Raw genomic sequence first — 24,538 nt, forward strand, 5'->3', positions numbered from 1 at the left:
ATAATTAACTCAAAGGCAGGGAACAAAAACTCCTATGTAACATATAAAAAGAGACAGCAAGACAGTTTACTTAAACTCAACAATTTAAATAATTACATAAAACATACATGCACTAATCTGACAGCCTACTTCTAAAAACAAGACATAACTATATACTATCAACAAGAAATAAATGTTAAATATAAAGTAGATGGACTGAAAGTAAAAGAACGGAAAAAAATGTCTTCGTGCAAATAATAAACATTAAAAAGCTTGTTTGGCTATATTATCACAAAATGTGTATGTTAAGACACTAATTATTACTGGAGAAAAAAATGTGTTTTAGATTCTTCTTCAAAGAGTTTACATTTGTTCCTCCAATGACGCATGAATCAAAGAATTCCTAAAAAAAAGAAGTGAGAGAAGGCACTTGAGTAGCTTTCTAACCTATGATAATAAAAGAGTTAATTCACAAAGAAACGTAAATATACTTAATCTGCTTACATCTAATTACAGGTCTTCAAATCGACAGAATGAAAGGAGAAATAGAAATATCCACAATTGTAAATTGGAGAGTTGAGCACTCCTCTCTCAAAAAATGACAGAACAAGTAGATAGAAAATCAATAAAGAACAGAAGATTAAAACAACATGTCAACCAACTTGATCATTAGAATGCTACACCTGACAACTGCAGAATGACAATATTTTCAAGTGTACATGAAATGTTTACCAAGTTAAACCATATTATGACATATATAATGGCCCCAGTAAATTTCGAAAGATCAAAATCTTAACAGATTTCTCTAACAAGAAAAACTATTATAATAAAAAACTTTATATCAAAAATCACTGTTTAGAAAATAAGCAATAAAAATTGTAAATAATTCACATGTCAAAGAAAAAATAGAAAATATTTCAAAAGTGATGGCTAAAACACAACATAATCAAACCATGTGGATTCCAGGTTAAGCAGTACATAGAAAAAAAGTTATCTTTAAATGATTTCATTATAAACAAGAAAGATTTAAAGTGAGTAACCTAAATTTTCTTATTATAAGCTAGTGATAAAACAGCAAATGAAACCAAAATTAAATATAAGAAAGGAAATAATGAAAATAAAATCAGAAATCAATGAAATAAGAAACATAATTAAAAGAAGATTTTTTAAAACAATTAACAAAATTGATAAACCCGTTACAAGAATGATAAAAAAAAAAAAGAAAAAAGCACAAATTATAAATTTCAGGAATAAAAGAAGAGATGTCATTGTATATTCTAAACACCTTAAGAATATAGGCCCAGCGCGGTTGCTCACGCCTGTAATCCTAGCACTTTGGGAGGCCGAGGTGAGCGGATTGCCTGAGTTCAGGAGTTTGAGACCAGCCTGAGCAACATGGGGAAACCTCGTCTCTACTAAAATTAAAAAAAAAAAAAAAAATTAGCTAGGTGTGGTGGCATGCACCTGTAGTTCCAGCTACTCGAGAGGCTGAGGCAGAAGAATTGCTTGAACCTGGAGTGGAGGTTGCGGTGAGCCGATATTGCACCACTGCACTCCAGCCTGGGCAACAGAGTGAGACTCTGTCTCTAAAATAAATAAATAAATAAACAAATAAATGAATAAATAAATAAAGGAATATTAAGTCAATTCTATTTTTTAAAATTTGACACCTTTTGAAAAACCCAACTTGCCTCACAAAAGAAGAAATAATATAATTAAATAAGTGCATTTATAAAGCATATAACATATACATATAGACATATATAGCATACATATGGCATATACACAGATGTATGACATATACATTGACATAAATAGACACGTTTATTGATAAACTAAATTCATAATAAAAATTTCCAGGCCCATATTATTTCATTGGTAAATTAGATCAAATGTTTAAGAAGGAAATCACAGAAATTTTACACACACACTTTCAGTAAACAAAAAAGGAAGAACACTTCCTAAATCCTTTAAGCCAGCATAAATTTACAAAACCTGACACAGTTATTACCCTAACAGCTACAACAAAAAAAGATGACCAATGTCATTCATATACACAGATGCAAAAGTTCTTAACAAATAATAGCAAATTAAATCCAACATTATGTAAAAAGAATAACACAATATGATTCATTTGGAGTTACCTCAGGAATGTAAGAAATGTCAGGTTGGTTTAACATTCTAAAATTAATCAATGTTATTTTTTACATAGCAGAATAAATGGCAAAAATATAATTATTTTTAAAAATGGAAAAAATCATTTGATAAAATTCAATACTTTTTTATGATTAAAACTATCAGCAAAGTAGGAGGGAAAGTGACTTTTATAACCTGATAAAGGGCATCTAAACAAAACTCACAGCTAAAATTAAACTTAATGATGAAAAACCAGATGATTTCCCTGTAAGGTCAGGAACAAAGAAGCACGTCTGTTCTCATCAGATTCAACATTGCACTAGAAGTCCTACCTTGTGCAATATGGCAGAAAAATAAATGAAGGGCATACCCATTGAAAAGAAGTGAAACTATTTATTAACAGACAAGATGGCTGTGCATGTAAACATCCCAGAGTCAACAACAACTAAAATAAGTCTACTTTGAAAAGTCACAGGATATCAATATGAAAACCTAAAACGCATTTCTACCTGCCATAAGCAAAAAATGTGTGGTGGCTTTGAACTGTGTCAAATAAGTGAAGCTGATTAAGTGATGGACACCAAACAATTTTGTATGATATGTTAAAGAGGGAAATAAAAGGGTACCACTTTTAGACCCAGAAACAGCTGAAGCTATTGTAACTTATTATACATTGCTATTGAACTGCCAGCCTACCTCATAGGAGAGAGCAGCAGCTGGGCCAAAAGCTCCTCCAGCTTCTGCCCAGTGCCTTCATTCAGCTTATGTGAATCCCGGGCCAGGTCAGTGAGTAGCTACATAGTGAAGGATGTCAGCCTATCCTACAAGTCACTTGCATCACAAAGGTTGCAGGTGATCTTAATCAACCCAGTCTGTCATAACAAAATATCATACTGGGTGGCTTAAACAATAGAAATTTATTTCTCACAATTCTGTAGGCTAGAAGTTCAAGATAAGGGTGCCAGCATGGTCAGTTTCTAGTGAGGATTCTCTTCCCAGCCTTCAGACAGCTGCCTTATTGGTGTTTCTTCACATGGTGGAGAAAAATCTCACTCTCACTCTTCCTCTTATTAAATGACCACCAATCCTAGGATCCCTCTCTTATGATCTCATTTAAACTTAATTATCACCTAAAAACCCTATGTCTAAATACAATTATTGGGGGTTAGGGCTTCAGCATATCAGTTTCTGGTGGATTCAGGGAGGCACAATTCAGTTCATAGCAGAAGTAATGAGAGACAGACACAGTTCTATTGTGTCATTACAGGTTCTGGTTTGTTCTTAGTTTCTCCCACTCCGTGCCCATCTTCCTTTCCCAACCACTACCACATGCTCTCTGTACCAGAAACTGAGGCAACAATCCCAGAGGCTGCTTAATGACCTCTCATAATTGCATAGAGCCTAATAACTATCATTAATCTCTCATTCTACATTACTTTCTATATGGTAGTTCTGCTTCTTTGATTAGACCCTGGCTGTTACATGATGAAATATGAAATTTAAAAATACGTCATTTATAATTTCATCAAAACCACGAAACACTTAAAAATAAATTTAATGAAAGAAGACAAGAACTCTATACCAAAAAATACACAACATTGGTAAAGGATATTAAAGAAGTCCTAGATAAATGGAGAGGTCATGGATTAGAAGACTAGACTGAATATAGCTAAGATGTCAATTCCCCACAGATTGATAGAGATTTCATGCAATTCCAATCAAAATCTTTATAAGTTGTTTTATTGAAGTTAACAGCTGACTCTAAAATTTATTTAGAAAAGTAAAAGACCTAGAAGAAACAAAACAATCTTGGAAAAAATAGACAAGGCTGTACGATTCCCACTTACTGAATTTAAAACTTCCTGTAAAGTTTCAACAATATGACAGTATGGTATTGATACAAGGATCATCAATATCATCAATGAAATAGGAGAGTTTAGGAAAAAAAATATATATGATTAACCAATATTTCACAAAGGTGCCAAGGTATTGGAACAACTATATATCCACATCAAAAAAATATTAAGCTGACCCCTACCTTACACTTTACACAAAAATTTATATAAGAAATATCATATGCTGGGCAAGGTGGCTCATGCCTGTAATCCCAGCACTTTGGGAGGCCGAGGCAGGCAGATCACCTGAAGTCAGGAGTTCAAGACCAGCCCACCCAACACGGTGAAACCCTGTCTGTACTAAAAATACAAAAAATTAGCTGGGCGTGGTGGGCACCTATAATCTCAGCTACTTGGGAGGCTGAGGCAGGAGAATAACTGAAATCTGGGAGGCAGAGGTTGCAGTGAGCCGAGATCACACCATTGCACTCCAGCTGGGCAACGGAAGTGAAACTCTGTCTCAAAAAGAAAAAAAAGAAGAAAGAAATATCATAGACCTAAATGCAAATATAAAAAGTCTGAAACTTCTGAAAGAAAAAAATAGGAGAATGTTTTCCATGACCTTGAACTAAACAAGAATTTTTTAGAGAGAACACAAAAACACAAACTATATAAAAGGAGCAGTTATGCATTGCTTAGTGATGGGATACATTTTGAGAAATGCATCATTAGGCAATTTTGTCATTGTGTGAACATCATAGAGTGTACTCACATAAACCTAGATGATATATACATTTTTTATCTGCATATACTTTTTCATATGGGAAACCAAATGTTCCAGCACCATTAGTAAATACCAATGATTTCTCTTCCTTGATATGCAATGCCAATATCAAGTGCCATATATCAGGTTTCTTTTTTAAAAAAAATAGAGACGAGGTCTTGCTCTGTTGCCCAGGTTGGTCTTGAACTCCTGGCCTCAAGTGATCCTCCTGCCTTAGTCTCCCAAAATGCTGAGATTATAGGTATGAACCACCACACGCAGCCTCAGGTTATCTTATGGGACCACCATCATACATGCAGTCTGTCGTTGACTGAAACATTGCTGTGCAGTGCATGGTTATATACTGAAATTTACCAAAACTAAAAATTTTGTGCACCCAAAGACACAGTTAAAAAAACTGAAAGGCAATTCACAGTTTGGGAAAAAGTATTTGTAAAACACATAATTGACAAAGGGCTTTTATGGAGAATAGTATATAAAGACTCTTAATATTCAATAATAAGAAGAGAAACAACCCTATAATAATGAGCAAAAAATTTGAATAGATACTCCAGAAAATAAGACATATTAACAGTCAGTATGCACATATCATTTGTCATGAAAGAAATGCAGATTTAGAGCACAAGGAGATACCAAGAACCTAGGAAAGTTAAAGTTTGGCAACACCAAATGCTGATGATGCTGTGAATAAACTAATACGCTTGAATATTTCCGGTGTGATCTTTTAAATTGTACAATTGCACTGAAAACAGTTTGGCAGTGTCTTAGAAAGGTTAATACGCAATTATCATTCCTAGATATTTGATTGAGGCAAATTGAAAATATGTTTATGCAAACAGAAGTTTATTATATAAAAATAGTGATAGCTATTTTATTTATTATAGCGCTCAACCAGAAACAATAGAAATGTCTGTCAAGAAGCAATTTAAGGTGCATTTATACAATGGAATACTTTTTATCAGCAGAGAAACAAACCATCAACACATGCAACAACATATTTATAGCTATACCCCCCTCCTCCCTCCCTTCCTGGCAACCACTAATGCGTTCTCCATTTTCAAAAGTTTGTCATTTGAAAAATATTATTAGCATTTGAAAAATACTATAAATAGAATCATAAAGTGTGTAACCTTTTGGATGGACTTTTTCCACTTTGTATAATTCTGTATTGAATATATCATGAGTAAATGCAAAAGAACCATTTGTGGTGGATCTTCTGACTTTAAGAGGCCTGTGTCTAACATTTTTCACTTCATCCAAGTTCTATTTTCTTTCCAAGGACTATTTTTTTCAAGTCTGTATTTGAGTCAGAAATAATGTTGTTTTTCTAGTAGCATGATATAGCCTAAAAATGTAAAGTTGAAATTATTGATTTGTCTTTTGATGCAAATTGCCTTTTTTTCAAATATTAATAAAGATTCTTTTTAAAGTGACAGTTTAAAAAATGTTTAGATGTCTGAGAAGAATGGTGCGTGTACTAGGAAGCTCCAAGCCCTGTTTCTTCATAGAAACATTAAAAACAACCAGAAACTAACTGGACAACTTTTATAGGAGCTCTGGAAAACAATCAAGGGTCTAAAGAAACCAAGTGAACACCCAGTTAAGAAAAAGCCACTTTCAAAATGGTAGTAAATGTCATGGGGTTTCTATTTACCCTTGCCTTACTCCCTAAGTTACAAGATATTCTTGGTCTATAGGAGGAAGCATCCCAGCTCCCAGCCTTCTCTCTCAACTGAAGGGAACAGAGCAGACCCTACTGACAGTATTCCAACCCATCTAGGCACTACCTACCGGATGTTTCTCTGCCTTGTCTAACTCAGATCTCAGGCAGGGAAAAAGCAGCAAGAACAGCTCATGAGAGCAGTGCACAGACTCCAACCTGGGAATCTGGGGCAAGACACTTGGAAAAAGAGATTTATAGTGGAGACATAAAATGACCACTTCAGGCCCTAGGGAGAAGCTGGAGTGAGACCATTTGGGAAATTAATACATTCAAAAGTAGCCATGGATAAATGGGAATTGAGAAAGTCACATGAAGGCCCAGGTAAGATGCATGCTCAGAAAGGGCCTGAGAAGACTGTTTTCATCTTGGACTGATCCCCAGGCTCAGGGTGAGGATTGCAGCCGCACAGAGCCAATTGGCAGAGACTGGAAGAGGTGGCTGTTTTCTCAAATGTCCAATTTTTAACAAAAATAACAAGGTGAAGAAACAGGAAAACATAACCCACTCAAATAAATACAATTAATTGGCAGAGATACCATCCTTAAAGAGGAAGAATTGGAATTACTAGACAGAGACTTTAAAATATCTTCCATAGTATGTTCAAAAGCAAAAGGAAAAAATGAACCAAGGACTAAAGAAAATCAGGAAAACAATATACGAACAAAATAAGAATACCAACAAAGAGACAGGAATTATGAAAAGGAACCAAGCAGAAATTCTGGAGCTGGAAAACATAATGACTGAATTCAAAAATTCACTGGAAGGATTAAGTCAATCTTGACGCAGAAGAACAAAATTAGAGAATTTATAATATCAGGCTTCAAGACTTATTCTAAAGCTACAACACTCAAGACAGTGTGCAAGTGTATAAAACTGAACTAGGAAACAAAATAAAATATCCAAAAATAGACCTATATATGAGACAGTCACCTTATTCATAACAAAGAATTCACTGCAACTAAGCAAGGGAAAGGATGATCTTAATAAATAGTGCTGGACCAATCGGGCCCCCAAATGAAAAAAAATTAACATTGACATCTACCTTGCACTATACACGAACATTAATCTAGGATGTAACATAGACATAAACATAAAAGTCATATGAAAGATAAAGCAATAACACTGCTAGAAGAAAACATAAAAGAACAATTTTATTAACCCAGATTAGGCTAAGATTTCTCAAACAGAAACAAAAAAGCACTAAATATAAAGGCAAATTATAAATGCTAAACACATTAATACATAGCTTCATTCAATTAAAAAATCTTGTTTGCCAAAAGCCAGCATTAAAAGTGAAATTGTCAACTCACAAATTAGCAATGTATATATTAAACCAAGGACTTTCATTCAGACATATCCTTACCTGTTCCTGTATCTGTATTCTCTGCCCCACTCCATGCTTCCCTGACTCTAGGTTCAGTGTGTGACTTGCTTGGGCAGATGGGATGTTACCAGAAGTGATACAAGGAGAGATACAATTGGGCTCCCTTACTCATTTCTCTGATAGGTCTACTGTAAAAATTAAGAAATCAACTTCATGCAGAACTCTGTGCAGTAATTTGTAATCAATAGATGTCCAGTGAAGGAAAACTCCCTTCTTCCTTGGGTTCTTTACCAGCTAAGGCTGAGAGGGCCCCTATGGCCCTGGTGAAAATCATTAGCTTTTCCTAGTGACCAGAGGCAGGTACTGTTGGCTTCCAGTTCTATCTGAAAATATGGAATAGAGGAAGAGTAGGATATTAGAAACCAAAAACAAACAGGAGATATTTTAGTTTCACTAGTCTTCAGAGGCTCTGGAAAAAGAAATTTTCCTTTGGAATTCATCTTCTCATTTCACAAAATAAACAAATAAGCAAATATGGAGGTGGAAGTTTCTCTTTCTGGGATTGTCTGAGACTGTCAGCAAATAGTGAGAAAGTGCATAGCTATTGCAAGCAGCTAATTACAAACCCCTTAACGTTCACACTGCAATTAAAGACATTTGTTCTTGATGAAAGCCGTCCCATAAGCTTGCATGAGCCCAGTCAGGAGGCATTTCCTGGGCTCCTGAAAAACACATTCATAAATCAGGACAGCCTCTGAATAAAAAGGGCCAATTAAAGTGATTAGTTCTCTATATAATATAGTTATTTGCAGTCATGCCTTTCATTCTCCCTCTCTCCTCTCCTCCAAGGACAAGGTTCTAAAAGCTAAACATCCATATTTCAATGTGTGCCCACATGGCTCCAAGAAAAACTCCATTAGGTAAAACAGAGAAAAGGCCAATTCTTTAGTAGTTTTCAACACTTTTTACCCACTGGAAAAAAAATTGACTCAGTCATGCCTCTTCACAAGCAAGCCAAAGTGTCTCACAATTTTTCCAATGCCAAGTTTGGTCTGCAGATCCCTTGGGAGGGAGGCAGGGTGGCGAAGTGTGAGGGGAAAGGCTTAGCGCCAGAAAGATCTCATCTGAGTCACCTTGCACTCAGAGCTGCCTATCCTTGCCTGGTTCTCAGCTCCCTCTGTACCCAATGGTGACAGCATCATAGCACCTGCAGGGTGTGGCACAGATTAAATGGAACATGTGGTGCCCATAGGTCACACGCTCTTGCCCTCTTCTTCCCAGTAGAAAAAACAGCCCCTCCTGCATCTTGCAGAGGGGATGGGCCTGCATGGTAGGTGGCAGACACAATCCCTTCTGTCATTCCCCATTGGGACTAAGGGAAGCCTCTCCATGAATGTTTAATTTCAAAATGACCTTACAGGTTTGCAAAGTGGAGGAAAAACTTCACCCCACCCCACTTTCCCAATATGAGTTCCATATTTAGTGTTATAACTCTTAGAGACAAGTCACTTGCAATTGTATACTCTTTTACATTTTAGGTGAATCATGTGCACAACAGTTCCCAGAAGTCCCCTGGGTTTCCAGCCCTATCCTCTAGTCAGCAGTCCTGAGATATACAGTGACATGAAGCAGAAGGAGTCACCTGTGGGGAGGCCTGGCCCCAGAAAGGCCTGAACTCTCTGTCTTCACATGGCAGAAGTGGGCAGTTCGCTCTCTGGGGCCTCTTTTATAAGGGCACTAATCCCACTCATGAGGACTCCAGCCTCCCACAAGCCCCCCTCCAAATACCACCACACTGGGGGTTCAGATTCAACATGTGAATTTTGGGACAATGCAAACATTCAGTCTATAGTACCCCACCCACTAGGGAATTGTCATTTGTATTTCCCAACCACTTGCCCTCTGTCTCACCTTCAAGGACAGACACAGCTCTTACCTGGGTCTGCCAGGCCACCCCTGAGTGATTGGACTCTACCCTTTGTGTCTCACTCTTTCCAGTTTCTCACCTTCTGATTCAGAAATGGCCAAAGCAAAGGGGTGCAGGTAAACCAGTTATGCAGATTTATTTAAAACTATATTTTAAAATATAATCTTTATACCTAGATTTTTTTTTTGGTGTGTTAAATGAACAACAATAGTCTTTACTTTGGTGTGAAAATAATATGTTCTCTCCCATTTTTTTTAAACACTTGGCCCTCTCAGTCTTCTTTTTCATCTTCACACTTCTAATATAGACATGCAGGTAAGAAATATTTTATCATTCCAAATTTATCGTAAGAAAAAGAGCTGTGGAAACGTGTGGAAACTAACACTCGCCCGACAATAAGGAAGGTTGGGACTTGGGTGGCTGGGGGAGCATTCTACTCATTCGAAGAGACAGATGTTGCTCTCCACCCAGGTGCTGCCCACAAAAATGCAAACCCTGGGTACAGCTACTTAAGAGAAGATGGCCTCTGGATTTGTAACATGAAACCCACTGGTTGTTAAATGTACAAGTAATCCAGTGTTTTAAGCAGCCTATGGCCCAAAACCTGCAGGACAACTGCTGACTTGATTTGACCAGAGTGTGCTCTCAGCTCTGTCCAGCCTTCACGTGGCTTTTCCACTCCAAAACTCCACCCAACAGGCTGCAAGACAGACCCAAGACTCAGTCTGGTTTGCTATATTCACATCCCGACTCTGGCCTCCTACTCAGTCTGACCTCCAGCTTCTATCTTCAGCAATTACTACTGCATAAGAATTACTACAGCCAGGCTGTCATCAATTTTCCCTCTGAATGCCTTTCATGTTGTCATTGCCCAAGCAAGCAATATTCTCTCTCATCTTGCAATTCTGCCTGTGCAGATCCTCCCCATGCTTCACACTTCCTCCAGGGTAGTCTCTGGAGAAGACTCCTGCCTCTTCTGCAAACTCCCAAGGTCTTCACTTGTACAAATCTCAGAAATTAATTTCAGCCTCTTTTACCATTCTATTTCCAGTGTGTTTCCTATTGCTTATCAGCTAGACTAAACTTTCTAAGATCAGATATTTCTTAGATTTGCTTATTATGATTTTCTCAGTACTTTGCACATAGGTACTGGGAAAATAAAGTAAGACCTACTTTAAGACTTGTATTTTAGACACTGACTACTCCTCCAAATGAGACGGAAAAAACACTAAAAATGCCCAGCAAAATATTGAAAGTTTATTTTTTAGTATGTTGATTATCTGACAAAAAAGTAGGAATATTTCAAATGCCAAAACCAAGTGAAATCTGGAACCTAGAGCATTAAGCCAAACACAGAAGGAAAGTTTCTTTTTGGGGACATTGAGCATCCATTTGTGATGTTGCAGGACTCACGGATCAAGATGCAAAGCTAAGGTCCTTTGAAGGTGAGAAGCCTAATTCTTTAAAGCCGGAACAGAAAGTGTTACTGGAAATAAACCTACATTCTGCACTTATTCCCCTTACACACATCCACATCCACTGAGTAGGGGTGGACAATGAAATGTACCTGTGAGAATTGTGGCACTGAGTGAAGAGGAAAATAAATGTATCCTGAGAATTGCTAGAAAAAAAATATTGTCCTCACTCAAATTGCAGCATGAATTCACAATACCCAGAAGGTCTAAAAAGACTCAAAGTGAAAACTCACTTTAAAATGTCAATCTCAGCTAACCAGTAAAAGTAAATGTTCAACACAGGCTTTAAAGAATCCCCACAGATGAACTTCCAAGGATTCAGATGTCACAGTCAAAAAATACACAAGGAATGTAGGCAGGTTGAGTGAGAATCAGCAATAATAACAGGAGGTAACACATTCTCAAAAGTTCGTGTTAACAATTACTGGCAAGAATATAAAATATTTTTATGTAATGGGTTTAAAGAAATAAATATAATACTGATAAAATGAGCAAAAAAAAAGTAAGACTAGTAAAATACCAAAACCATTTGATCAAAAAAAAAAAAAGAAAAAGAAAAGCTTCCAAAAATCCAAAAATATGTTTAATGTATAACAATTAAAATGAAGAATCTGGAGCCAAGAGTGGTGGCTCATGTCTACAATCTCAGCTATTTGGGAGACTGATATGTGAGTATCACTTGAGTCCAGGAGTTTAAGGCTAGAGTGAGCTATAATTGCCAGTGTACACCAGCCTGAGTGATAGAACAAGACCCCATCTCTTAAAATAAATAAACATAGAGCAACAATACAAACAAGCTGGCATAGTAGCCAGCTAACAACACAATGACAGGATCAAATCCGCACATATCAGTTCTAACCTTAAATGTAAATGAGCTACATGCCCCATTTAAAAGACACAGAATGGCAACCTGGATAAAAAAGCAATACCCAATGGTATGCTGTCTTCAAGAGACCCATCCCCCATTCAATGACACCCATAGGCTCAAGATAAAAGGATGAGGGAAAATCTACCAAGCAAATGGGAAACAGAAAAAAGCAGAGGTTGCAACCTTAATTTCAGACAAAACAGAATTTAAACCAACAAAAAACAAAAAAGACAAAGAAGGGCATTACATATGGTAAAGGATTCAATTCAACAAGTAGACCTAACTATCCTAAATATATATGGACCCAACACAGGAGCGCCCAGATTTATAAAGCAAGTCTTTAGAAACCTGCAAAGAGACTTAGACTCACACACAATAATAATGGAAGATTTCACTCCACTAACAGTATTATACAGATCATCGAGGCAGAAAATTAACAAAGATATTAAGGGCCTGAAATCAACATTGAACCAAATGGATCTAGTAGACCTCTGCAGAACTCTTTACTCAAAAGCAATAGAATATACATTCTTCTCATCACCACATGGCACATACTCTAAAGTTAACCACACAATCAGACATAAAACAATCCTCAGCAAATACAAAAGAATGGAAATCATACCAAACATACTCTTTGACAATAGCACAATAAAAATAGAAGTTAAGACTAAAAAAAAATTGCTCAAAACTACGCAATTACATGGAAATTAAACATGCTTCTGAATGACTCTTGGGTAAAAAATAAAATTAAAGCAGACATCGAGAAGTTCTTTGAAACTAATGAGAACAAAGGTACATCATACCAGAATCTCTGGGACACAGCTAAGGCAGTGTTAAGAGGGAAATTTATAGCACTGAATATCCATGTCAAAAAGTTAGAAAGATCTCAATTTAACAATTTAACATCACCACTGGAAGAACTAGAGAAGCAAGAGCAAACCAACCCCAAAGCTAGCAGAAGACAAGAAATAATGCAAATTAGAGCTGAACTAAGGGAAATTGAGACACACAAAAAAATTCAAAAGATCAATGATTTCAGGAGTTGGTTTTTTTGAATAAATTAATAAGACAGATAGGCCACAAGCTAAATTAATAAGAAAAGAGAGAAGATCCAAATAAACACAATTATAAATGATGAAGAAAATATTACCACTGACCCCACAGAAATGAAAATAACCATCATAAACTACTATGAACACCTCTGTGCATACAAACTAGAAAACCTAGAAAAGATGGATAAATTGCTTAACAGATACACCACAAACTGGAAAACCTAGAAGAGATGGATAAATTCCTTAACAGATACACCACTGAACCAGGAAGAAATTGATTCCCTGAACAGATCAATAGCAAGCTCCAAAATTGAATCAGTAATAAATAGCCTACCAATAAAAAAAGCAGCCCAGGACCAGATTGATTCACAACTGAATTCTATCAGATGTACAAAGAAGAGCTGGTACCAGTCCTACTGAAACTAGTCCAAAAAATTGAGGAGAAGGGACTCCTCACCAACTCATTCTATGAGGCTCTATGAGGCCAGCATCTTCCTGATTCCAAAACCTGGCAAAGATGCAATGAAATAAGAAACTTCAAGCCAATATCTTTGAACATTGATGCAAAAATCCTCAACAATATACTTGCAAACTGAATCCAACAGCACATCAGAAAGCTAATTCACCACGATCAAGTAAACTTCACACCCAGGATGCAAGGTTGGTTTGACATACACAAACCAATACATGTGACTCATCACTTAAACAGAACTAAAGACAAAAACCACATGTTTACCTCAATATATGTAGAAAAGGCTTTTGATAAAATTCAACATCTCTTCATGTAAAAACCTCTCAATAAACAAGGTATTGAAGGAACATATCTCAAAATAATTAGAGCTATCTATGACAAACCCACAGCCAACATCACACTGAATGGGGAAATGCTAAGCGTTCCCTTGAAAACTGGCACAAGACAAGGATGCCCTCTCTTACCACTTCCATTTGACATAATATTGGAAGTCCTAGCCAGAGCAATCAGGCAATGGAAAGAAATAAAGGGCATCTGAATAGAAAGAGAGTATGTTAAACTATCTCTGTTTTCAGATGACATGATTTTGTATCTAGAAAATCCCATAGTCTCAGCCCAAAGGCTCCGTCAACTGATAAACAACTTCAGCAAAGTTTCAGGATACTAAATCAATGTACACAAATCACTAGCATTCCTATACACCAATGACAGCCAAGCCAAGAGCCAAATCAGGAATGCAATCCCACTGACAATAGCCACAAAAAAATAAAATACATAGGAATACAGCTAACCAAGGAGATGAAAGATTTCTACAATAAGAATTACAAAACACTGCTCAAAGAAATCAGAGAAGACACAAACAAATGGAAAAACATTTCATGCTCATGGTTAGGAAAAATAAATATCATTAAAATGGCCATACTGCCAAAAGCAATTTACAGATTCAATACTATTCCTATCAAATTACCAATGACATTCTTCACAGAACTAAAAAAAAAAAAAACTATTTTGAAATTTATATGGAACCAAAAAGGAGCTCTAACAGCTAAGGCAATGCTAAGCAGAAAGAACAAAGCTGGAGGCAATATGCCACCCAACTGCAAACTATACTACATGGCTACAGTAATCAAAACAGTATGGTACTGGTACAAAAACAGACACATTGACCAATGGAACAGAAGAGAGAGCCCAGAAATAAGGCCACCTACAACCATCTGTTCTTTGACAAAGCTGAAAAAGAATAGGCAATGGGGAAAAGACTCCATATTCAATAAATGGTGGTGGGATAACTGGCTAGCCATATCCAGAAGACAGAAACTGGACCCCTTCCTTACACCATTTACAAAAATCAACTCAAAATAGATTAAAGACTTAATTTAAAAACCCAAAACTATAAAAACCCTGGAAAACAATCTAGGTGATACCATTCTGGACATAGAAATGGGCAAAGATTTCATGACGAAAATGCCAAAAGCAATTGCAACAAAAGCAAAGGTTGACAAATGAGATCCAATTAAACTTAAGAGATTCTGCATAACAAAAGAAACTATCAACAGAGTAAACAGACAACCTACAGAATGGGAGAAAATATTTGCAAACTACGCATCTGACAAAAGTCTAATATTCAGCATCTATAAGGAACTTAAACAAATTTACAAAAAAAAAAAAAACCAACCCCATTAAAAAGCAGGCAAAGGATATTAACAGACACTCTTCTAAAGAAGACACAGATGCAGTTAACAAGCATATGAACAAAAGCTCAGTATCACTGATCATTAGAGAAATATGAATCAAAATCACAACGAGATACCATCTCACACCAGTCAGAACCACCATTATTAAAAAGTCAAAAAATAACATGCTGATAAGGCTGTGGAGAAAAAGAAATGCTTGTACACTGTCTGTAGGATTGTAAATTAGTTCAACCTTTGTGCAAAGCAGTGTGGTGATTCCTCAGAGAGCTAAAACCAGAACTACCATTTGATCCAGCAATCTTATTACTGGGTATATACCCAGAGGAATATAAATTATTCTACCATTAAGACATATGCATGCAAATGTTCATTGCAGCACTATTCACAATAGCAGAGATATGGAATCAACCTAAATGCCTGTCAATGACATTGGAGTGAGAAAATGGGGTACATATACATCATGGAATACTATGCAGCTATGAAGAATGAGATTATATCTTTTGTGAAAACATGGATGGAACTGGAGGCCATTATCTTTAGCAAACTAACACAGGGACAGAAAACCAAATACCACGTATTCTCACTTATAAGTGAGAGCTGAAGGATGAGAACTAATGGATGCAATGAAGGGAACAACAGACAATGGGGTGGAGAGTGGAGGGTGGGAGAAGGGAAAGGATCAGAAAAAAATAACCATTGTGTACTAGGCTTAGTGCCTGGGTGATGAAATAATCTGTACAACAAACCCCCTTAACTGTTACCTATATAACAAACCTGCACAGGTACCCCAAAAGTAAAATAAAAGTTAAAAAATAAAATCAAATAAATAAAAGTTAAAATGTGACATCATAGATTATTATTTTGTGCATTTACAAGAAACTAGCCTGCTAATTAAATAAGTGTAAATGTTTATTATTTAATTTTTATGCATGTATGTGAAGTAAAATTAAATAAAATAAATAAACAATATAAATAAATAACCCAATGGATGGTTTTAACTGTAAAGTTTCCAAGGCTAAAGAGATATTTAACAAAATGGAAGCTAAATTTAAATACGTTATCTATAATGCAGTATAGAAGCACAAAGATTCAATAAATAAAAAAAGAGATTTAGAAGACATGGAGGACAGAAAGAAGAAGTCTCATATTTGGCTAATTAAAGGACCAGAAAGAGTGAAGTGAGATGGGGAAAGATGGTATTTTAAGAAATAATGACTAAGAAACTTTAGACTGACAAATGACATTGGTACTTACATTACAAAAGCAACCAGAATAAGAACAAAATTAAATCCACCTTAAAAACGTAACTGTGAAGCTGCATAATACTAAGGCGGAAAAGAGACAATCTTAAAAACCTTCAAATAGAAAAGACAAATAAACAATAAAAGAATGACAAATAGAAAATGGAAGTCAGAAGATACTGGAATAACATCTTAAATGTGCTGAGAGGAAATAGCTCCAGTGAAAATATCTTTCTAAAAGTAGATGAAGGAAAAAAAATCAGCCTAACAAAAACTAAACAAAATGCTTTTACTAAATATATTGTAAAGTTATCCTATAGGCAAAATGAAAACAATCAGATGGAAGATGTCAGATGTGAGAATAAATTTTTAAAAAGGCAAGATGTAGGTAAATCTATCCAAACACTGGCTATATAAGACAATAATAATATTGTTTATCAACAGTTGGGGAAAAACTATCGTTGGCAATAATATATGATAAGGAGGCCACACGACTGCTGCTAATTTATTATCAGTCCTTGTATTGTTTAGGACTGGTGTAAAGATAACAGGCATCTTAAATTTCCTGAAGTGACCATTAACACAACCGAAGATGGAATTAATCAGTTCCAAAATATTAGAGAGAAAAAGGTGCAATGAGAAAACTTACAGAAACAATCAAAAAGGGAAAAAGGAAAGGTTAAAAGCACAGGAAATGCATAACACAAAAAAAATTCAAAATAAATGACATGAATAAATGTAATTATAATGGTAATTTGAATGTAAAAGAACTGCATTCAAGAATTAAGACAAAGATTGTCACACTAGGTGAAAAAACAAAAGCTAGCTTTATGCTATTCGTAAGAAACACTTCTGAATTATAAATATTAGAAAAAATAAGGCTAAAAGAATAAAGAAAATTATACCAGGGAAGTGCTAACCAAAATAATTATATAGCTCTCTATTAATAGCAGGCAAAAATAGATGAAGGCATAAAGCATTAACACTATTAATCTATTAGTGTTTAATAGAAACATTATTAAACAGTTAAAGGTTTATTATTAAGGAAGATATAACAATTATAAAGTTGCATGTATATACAACATAGTTTAATATATAGTAACCAGAAATTAAAAGAACTAGAAGGATAAACCATTATCATCAACAAAAACAATATCATAGAAGGAGATTTGGTACAATTTTCATAGTAGATAATAAATATATCAGGAAGTTACATAGTATGCATATGTAAAATTAAAACAATGCAACTAACAAACTTAAACACACAAAGGTAATACATTAACCATGCCGGTAGAAAATACAAATTTTTCTTCAGCATATATTTAACATTTATAAAATTGACCAACTGGACTGTAATTCAAACAATAAAGAATTAATGAAATTAAATTAAAGATCAATAACAAGAATATAAATTTTAAATTTTAATACTTAGAATTTCTCATATAGCCTTATATTTTTATAAATTAGAAAGCAATAACAAAAAGATAAATATCATTTTTTAAATATAGTTTTTAAATTATTTGTGGATCAAGTAAGTTATTACTATGTTAAAATATTTTGAGTTGAGCAATAATTAAAGTACAGTATGGTTTGAGTATTTATCTGAAATGTGTGCACCAAAAGCATTTTGGATTTGAGATTTTGAAGTATTTAAATATACACAATGAAATGTATTGGGGATAGGACCCAAGTCTAAACACAAAAGTCATTTATGTGTTACCTATACCTTATACACATAGCCTGAAGTAATTTGATACAATATTTTTAATAACTTTGTATAAGAAACAAAACATCTATACATTGAACCATGAGAAGCAAAGGTGTCACACATACCTATGGCGTCATGTCAGAGCTCAAAATATTTCAGATATTGGAGCATTTTGGATTTCAGATATTCAGATTAGGAATGCTCAACCTGTGTAACAAAATTGCAGGATACAGCTAAAGCAGTATTCAGAGGAAAATTTATAACATAATAATTTAGATTGGACTACAAGGATGAAATATAATGAGCAAAGAATCCAATTTGAGTGGCCACAGCATGAGTGAAAGGAAGGAAACACAGAGCAGAGAGCAATTCCATGAAAACCGACAGATCCTCTGCACGACTAATGGAGAGGGAAGTCATCAATATTAGAAGTAATAAGTGTACGTAACTACAGATGCTGCACAAATAAAAACATTAAGGGATTTGATAAATAACCTTATATCAATAATTTGAAAACATGCAAAATCCACAAATTACTTAAAAATACAAGAATCAACACCAAAAAGAACAAAAAGTGTAAATAATCCTGTAACTATTCCATAAATTATATCAGCAATTAAAAATCTTTCAATTCAGAAATGGTCTCAGATGGTTTTCTCTGTTAGGTCTGACTCTCAAGAGGAAAATAATTCTAATTTGACAAATATTCCAGATGATAAGACAGTGGAAATACTCTGCAATTCATTTTACAAGGGAAAAAAATTAATAGGCCCATCTCACTCATGAACTTAAATGCAAAATATATTTGAATAAATGTGAACAAACCAAATAAAAATGTATGGAAAAGGTAATGCACTACACCGTTAGAGATGTAGGACTAATCTAACACTAGAAATAATTTTATATAAGTTCTATATTAAGTTTAAAAGAGAATAATTGTAGAATTTTGTATTCGATAAAAACAAAATTTATTTCATATTTTAAAAATAAAGTCTTATCAAACTAAAAGTAGAGATGAGGTTTATAATTTTTTTATTACACTTTAAGTTCTGGAATACATGTGCAGAACGTGCAGGTTTGTTACATAGGTATACACATGCCATGATGGTTTGCTGCACCCATCAACCCTTCATCCACATTAGGTATTTCTCCTAATGCTCTCCCTGTCCTAGGCCCCCAACCCCCGACAGGCCCCAGGGTGTGATGTTCCCCTTCCTGTGTCCATGTGTTCTCATTGTTCAACTCCCACTTATGAGTGAGAACATGTGGTGTTTGGTTTTCCGTTCTTGTGTTAGTTTGCTGAGAATGATGGATTCCAGCTTTATCCATGTCCCTGCAAAGGACATGAATTCATCCTTTTTATGGCTACATAGTATTCCATGGTGTATATGTGCCACATTTTCTTTACCCAGTCTATCATTGATGGGTATTTGGGTTGCTTCCAAGTCTTTGCTATTGTGAACAGTGCCACAATAAACATATGTGTGCATGTGTCTTTAGAGTAGAATGATTTATAATCCTTTGGGTATTTGCCTAGTAATGGGATTGCTGGGTCAAATGGTATTTCTAGTTCTAGATCCTTGAGGAATCGCCACACTGTCTTCTACAATGCTTGAACTAATTTACACTCTTACAAACAGTGTAAAAGCATTCCTATTTTTCCACACCCTCTCCAGCATCTGTTATTTCCTGACTTTTTAATGATCACCACTCTAACTGGCATAAGATGGTATCTCATTGTGGTTTTGATTTGCATTTCTCTAATGACCAGTGATGATGAGCTTTTTTTCATGTTTGTTGGCTGCATAAATGTCTTCTTTTGAGAAGTGTCTGTTCATATCCTTTGCCCACTTTTTGATTGGGTTGTTTGTTTTTTTTCTTGTAAATTTTTTTAAGTTCTTTGTAGATTCTGGATATTAGCCCTTTGTCAGATGGATAAATCGGAAAAATTTTCTCCCATTCTGTAGGTTGCCTGTTCACTCTGATGATAGTTTCTTTTGCTGTGCAGAAGCTCTTTAGTTTAATTAGATTCCATTGGTCAATTTTGGCTTTTGTTGCCATTGCTTTTGGTGTATTAGCCATGAAGGCTTTGCCCATGCCTATGTCCTGAATGGTATTGCCTAGGTTTCCTTCTAGGGTTTTTATGGTTTTAGGTCTTACATTTAAGTCTTTAATCCATCTAGAGTTACTTTTTGTATAAGGTGTAAGGAAGGGGTCCAGTTTCAGCTTTCTGCATATGGCTAACCAGTTTTCCCAATACCATTTATTAAATCCTTTCCCAATTGCTTGTTTTTGTCAGGTTTGTCAAAGATCAGATGGTTGTAGATGTGTGGTGTTATTTCTGAGGCCTCTGTTCTGTTCCATTGGTCTATATATCTATTTTGGTACCAGTACCATGCTGTTATGGTTACTGTAGCCTTGTAGTATAGTTTGAAATCAGGTAGCATGATGCCTCCAGTTTTGTGCTTTTTGCTTAGGATTACCTTGGCTACTCAGGCTCTTTTTGGTTCCATATGAAATTAAAAGTAGTTTTTTTCTAATTCTGTGAAGAAAGTCAGTGGTAGCTTGATGTGGATAGAATTGAATCTATAAATTACTTTGGGCACTATGGCCATTTTCACAATATTGATTCTTCTTATCCATGAGCATGGAATGATTCTCCATTTGTTTGCTTCTTCTCTTATTTCCTTGAGAGGTGGTTTGTAGTTTTCCTTGAAGAGATCCTTCACATACCTTGTAAGTTGTATTCCTAGGTATTTTATTCTCTTTGTAGCAATTGTGAATGAGAGTTCACTCATGATTTGGCTCTCTGTCTGTTGTTGGTGTATCGGAATGCTTGTGATTTTTCACACTAATTTTTTATGCTGAGACTTTGCTGAAGTTGCTTAACAGCTTAATGAGTTTTGGGGCTGGGATGATGGGGTTTTGTAAATATGCAATCATGTCATCTGCAAATAGAGACAATTTGACTTCCTCTCTTCCTATTTGTTTGAATACCCTTTATTTCTTTCTCTTGCCTGATTTCCCTGGCCAGAACTTCCAATACTATGTTGAATAGGAGTGGTGAGAGAGGACATCCTTGTCTTGTGCCAGTTATCAGATGGAATGCTTCCAGTTTTTGCCCATTTAGTATGATATTGGCTGTGGGTTTGTCATAAATAGCTCTTACTGTTTTGAGATATGTTCCATCAATATCTAGTTTGTTGAGAGTTTTTAGCATAAAGGGGTGTTGAATTTTGTCGAAGGCCTTTTCTGCATCTATTGAGATAATCATGTGGTTTTTGTCATTGGTTCTGTTTATGTGATGGATTACATTTATTGATTTGCATATGTTGAACCAGCCTTGCATCCCAGGGATGAAGCCGACTTGATCATGGTGGATAAGCTTTTTTATGTGCTGCTGGATTCGTTTTGCCAATATTTTAATGAGGATTTTTGCATTAATGTTCATCAGGAATATTGGCCTGAAATTTTCTTTTTTTGTTGTGTCTCTGCCAGGTTTTGGTATCAGGATGATGCTGGCCTCATAAAACGAGTTAGGGAGGATTCCCTCTTTTTCTATTGTTTGGAATAGTTTCAGAAGGAATGGTACCAGCTCCTCTTTGTACCTCTGATAGAATTCAGCTGTGAATCCATCTGTTATCTACCAGCAATTTAAAACATGAATCACACACTAAATAAATGGAAAAATGAAAGCATTTTCTTTATGAACAGGAAAATTCCAGGGTACTTGTTATCACCATTTCTAGTCAACATTTACTAGTGATTTACCATGCAATAGGAATAGACAAATAAATGAAAAGTTTAAGAACAAGAGAGAGAGGGAAAGAAAACAGGAAGGAAGAAAGGAAATTTTATAGATAATATGTATTACCTCACGTCATACATAAACATTAATTCCAGATGCTTTAAATATTTAAATCTGTAACACAAAACTATAAACATCTTAGAATGCTATATGAAAGAATATCTTTGACTTCAGGATAGAAATGGGTTTCTTAAGATTCAAGAAGGGCAAATCATAAAAAAGTAAACATATTAAAACTAAGAACTTCTGACTATTATAAGGAACCATGTTATGTTTTGAACATAAGCCACCAACTGAAAAAAAAAATTGCAACATATATCACTGACAAAGAAATAGAACACAGAGTATTTAAAGAACTACTGCAAACTGATAGGAAAAAGGTAATTCACAAAAGACAAACATGCAAAAGACTTGAAGGAATACTTCACAAAGAAATGCCAAAGGTTAAAAAATACATGAAAAGCTGCTCAACTCATCATTAGTCAGGAAAATGAAAGTTAAAACCACAATTAAATGCTGTTTTTACATCCACCAAATTGGCAAAAATTTCAAAGTCTCACAATATCAAGTTTTGGCAAGGATGTTAGGAAAAAACTATCTACTGCTGTGGAGTAACAATCTGGCATTTATCCAGTGAAATTGAAGATGTGCATTTCAAAAATGCAAGAATTCCTTTCCTAGGAATTTATGGAATGCTTCCACACATGATGTGCTCCAGGGACTGTCCATGAAATGTTCATAACAGCACTGTTTATAACAGCAAAACCTCAGAAAAAAGCCAAATGCCCAATGACACGAGAATACCTAAAGATTTGGGTACATTCATCCCAAGCAATACTGTATAGCAGTGAAAATAAATGAACTATGGCAGTGAGCATATGGTGACTTACTCTCAGAGGGGTATGTTGAGTAGTGCAAAGCAAGTTGCAGATGAATGCATATGTTATGATTCCATTTAAATAAATTTTGAAATTTGCAAAACTACACACTGTATTCCTTTTGGGGGTGCTGCAAGGCAGAGCTGTGCTGGCCCTGTACTAACCACATCAGCAGATAACCCTTGGAATTTGACAGTGCACATTCTCTGAGGAATTCCATAGTAACCCTGATATGGATTCAGCCACAGTTGTTAAAACTATAGAGAAATCCAATACAATTATTGACAAAAAAAAAAATGTGGTATAGTGGTTACCTCTAGGGAAGGTACAGGTACTCTCTGGGCTTCAAAGATTTTGGTAATGTCTGTTTCTTAAACTATATGGGGATATTCTGCCGTTTATTGTAATGTGTATTATTTTATATTTAATACACATATTATATATTATTTTGTATCTAACCAACATTCAATAAAACCAATTAAAATAATGACTTGTCTAGTTGTGGCCTTGCCTGTACAATGTGACTCATGGTATTACCATTTCAGTCCCAATGTCTTCCTGCAGGATCCTAGCTTTCTATCATCCCACCATGAATGAACCCTTATTTCCATGGACCATGAAAACCAGTGGACACTGAGAGAAGCCATCATGGCACAGAGAGTGAAACTCACCTCGGGCAGATCTTCATTAGATTATATAATACCTGTGTGACATAAAGAAAACTTAACCTGTCTCTGGTTCTTCATCTTTGCAATGGAGATGGTAATATACAACTCATCATGTTGCAGGGAATTGAACTACATAGGCAGAGGAAGGGTAAATCAGATGCAACATTTTTGGTGGACAATTTGTGGAAACTATTAAAATATAAAATGTTCTTCCCATTTAATCAGCAATTCAGTTACTTCTCATCTATCTCATCTATTCCATAAAAATTTTCTCCAAACTTTGCATAGATCTACAGGAAAGCTAGTTCATTGCTACATTGTTTTGTGTAGGGAAAAAAATTAGAAGATACCTTCAATATGAGAATTGTTAAATAAATTATGATACATCAATACTTGGGAATATATCATGTAACCATTAAAATGAATAAGGTCGATGATGTATTGATATAAGAAAATGTCTATGATATATGATTCAATGAAAAATATTCATGTAGACAGAGTCTGAAGCCCAGAAAATTTTAGAGAGGTCTAGTTTTTACCAGCTAGTAGGATGAAGAACGGGAGCTGCAATCCATATAACGTCATTCTCAAGTGAGAATTATTCCTGCTTCAACATACAGCGACCCTTAAGAAATCTTCTGTTAGCTATGTTTTGCTCTTTCTCTCTCCTAAAAGATTTCTTTAAGTTATTCAAAGTCATAACTGCAGCAATGAAAACCTGATGATTTTAGCAGCTTTCTGAAATCTAAAAATGCCACTTGTAAAGACAAGGTCTGTGAGGCTAGGGCACCTGCATTTTGTGGGGTTTTGAGGAGGAGCTGCTATATTTGGGGCGTATGGTTGATCAATCTTCACATGGTCACCACCTGTCTGTGGTACTATTTTTTCCTGAAAAACTGGGTTGAAATGTCACATAAAGGCCTCTCCAAGGCTCTTAGATGAATAATTTAATCACCCTCTAGTTGT

The 24,538-nt window shown here is 35.3% G+C and overlaps 1 long non-coding RNA gene across 2 annotated transcripts in view; it reads right to left on the minus strand.

Annotated features, from left to right (window-relative positions):
• The window catches only part of LOC105373602 (uncharacterized), a 98,601-nt gene that overhangs the window by 56,281 nt on the left and 17,782 nt on the right, over window positions 1-24,538 (minus strand). The window contains exon 3 of one of the 2 annotated variants that reach the window (XR_001739694.1): window positions 7,826-8,164. The exons of the other annotated variant lie outside the window; for it this stretch is intronic. This is a non-coding gene — a long non-coding RNA (uncharacterized LOC105373602). Of the gene's footprint in view, window positions 1-7,825; window positions 8,165-24,538 lie in introns of those variants that run through there. 2 annotated transcript variants of the gene reach the window in all.

The sequence above is a fragment of the Homo sapiens genome, chromosome 2 (genome assembly GCF_000001405.40).
Source record: "Homo sapiens chromosome 2, GRCh38.p14 Primary Assembly".
Lineage (NCBI taxonomy): Eukaryota > Metazoa > Chordata > Mammalia > Primates > Hominidae > Homo > Homo sapiens.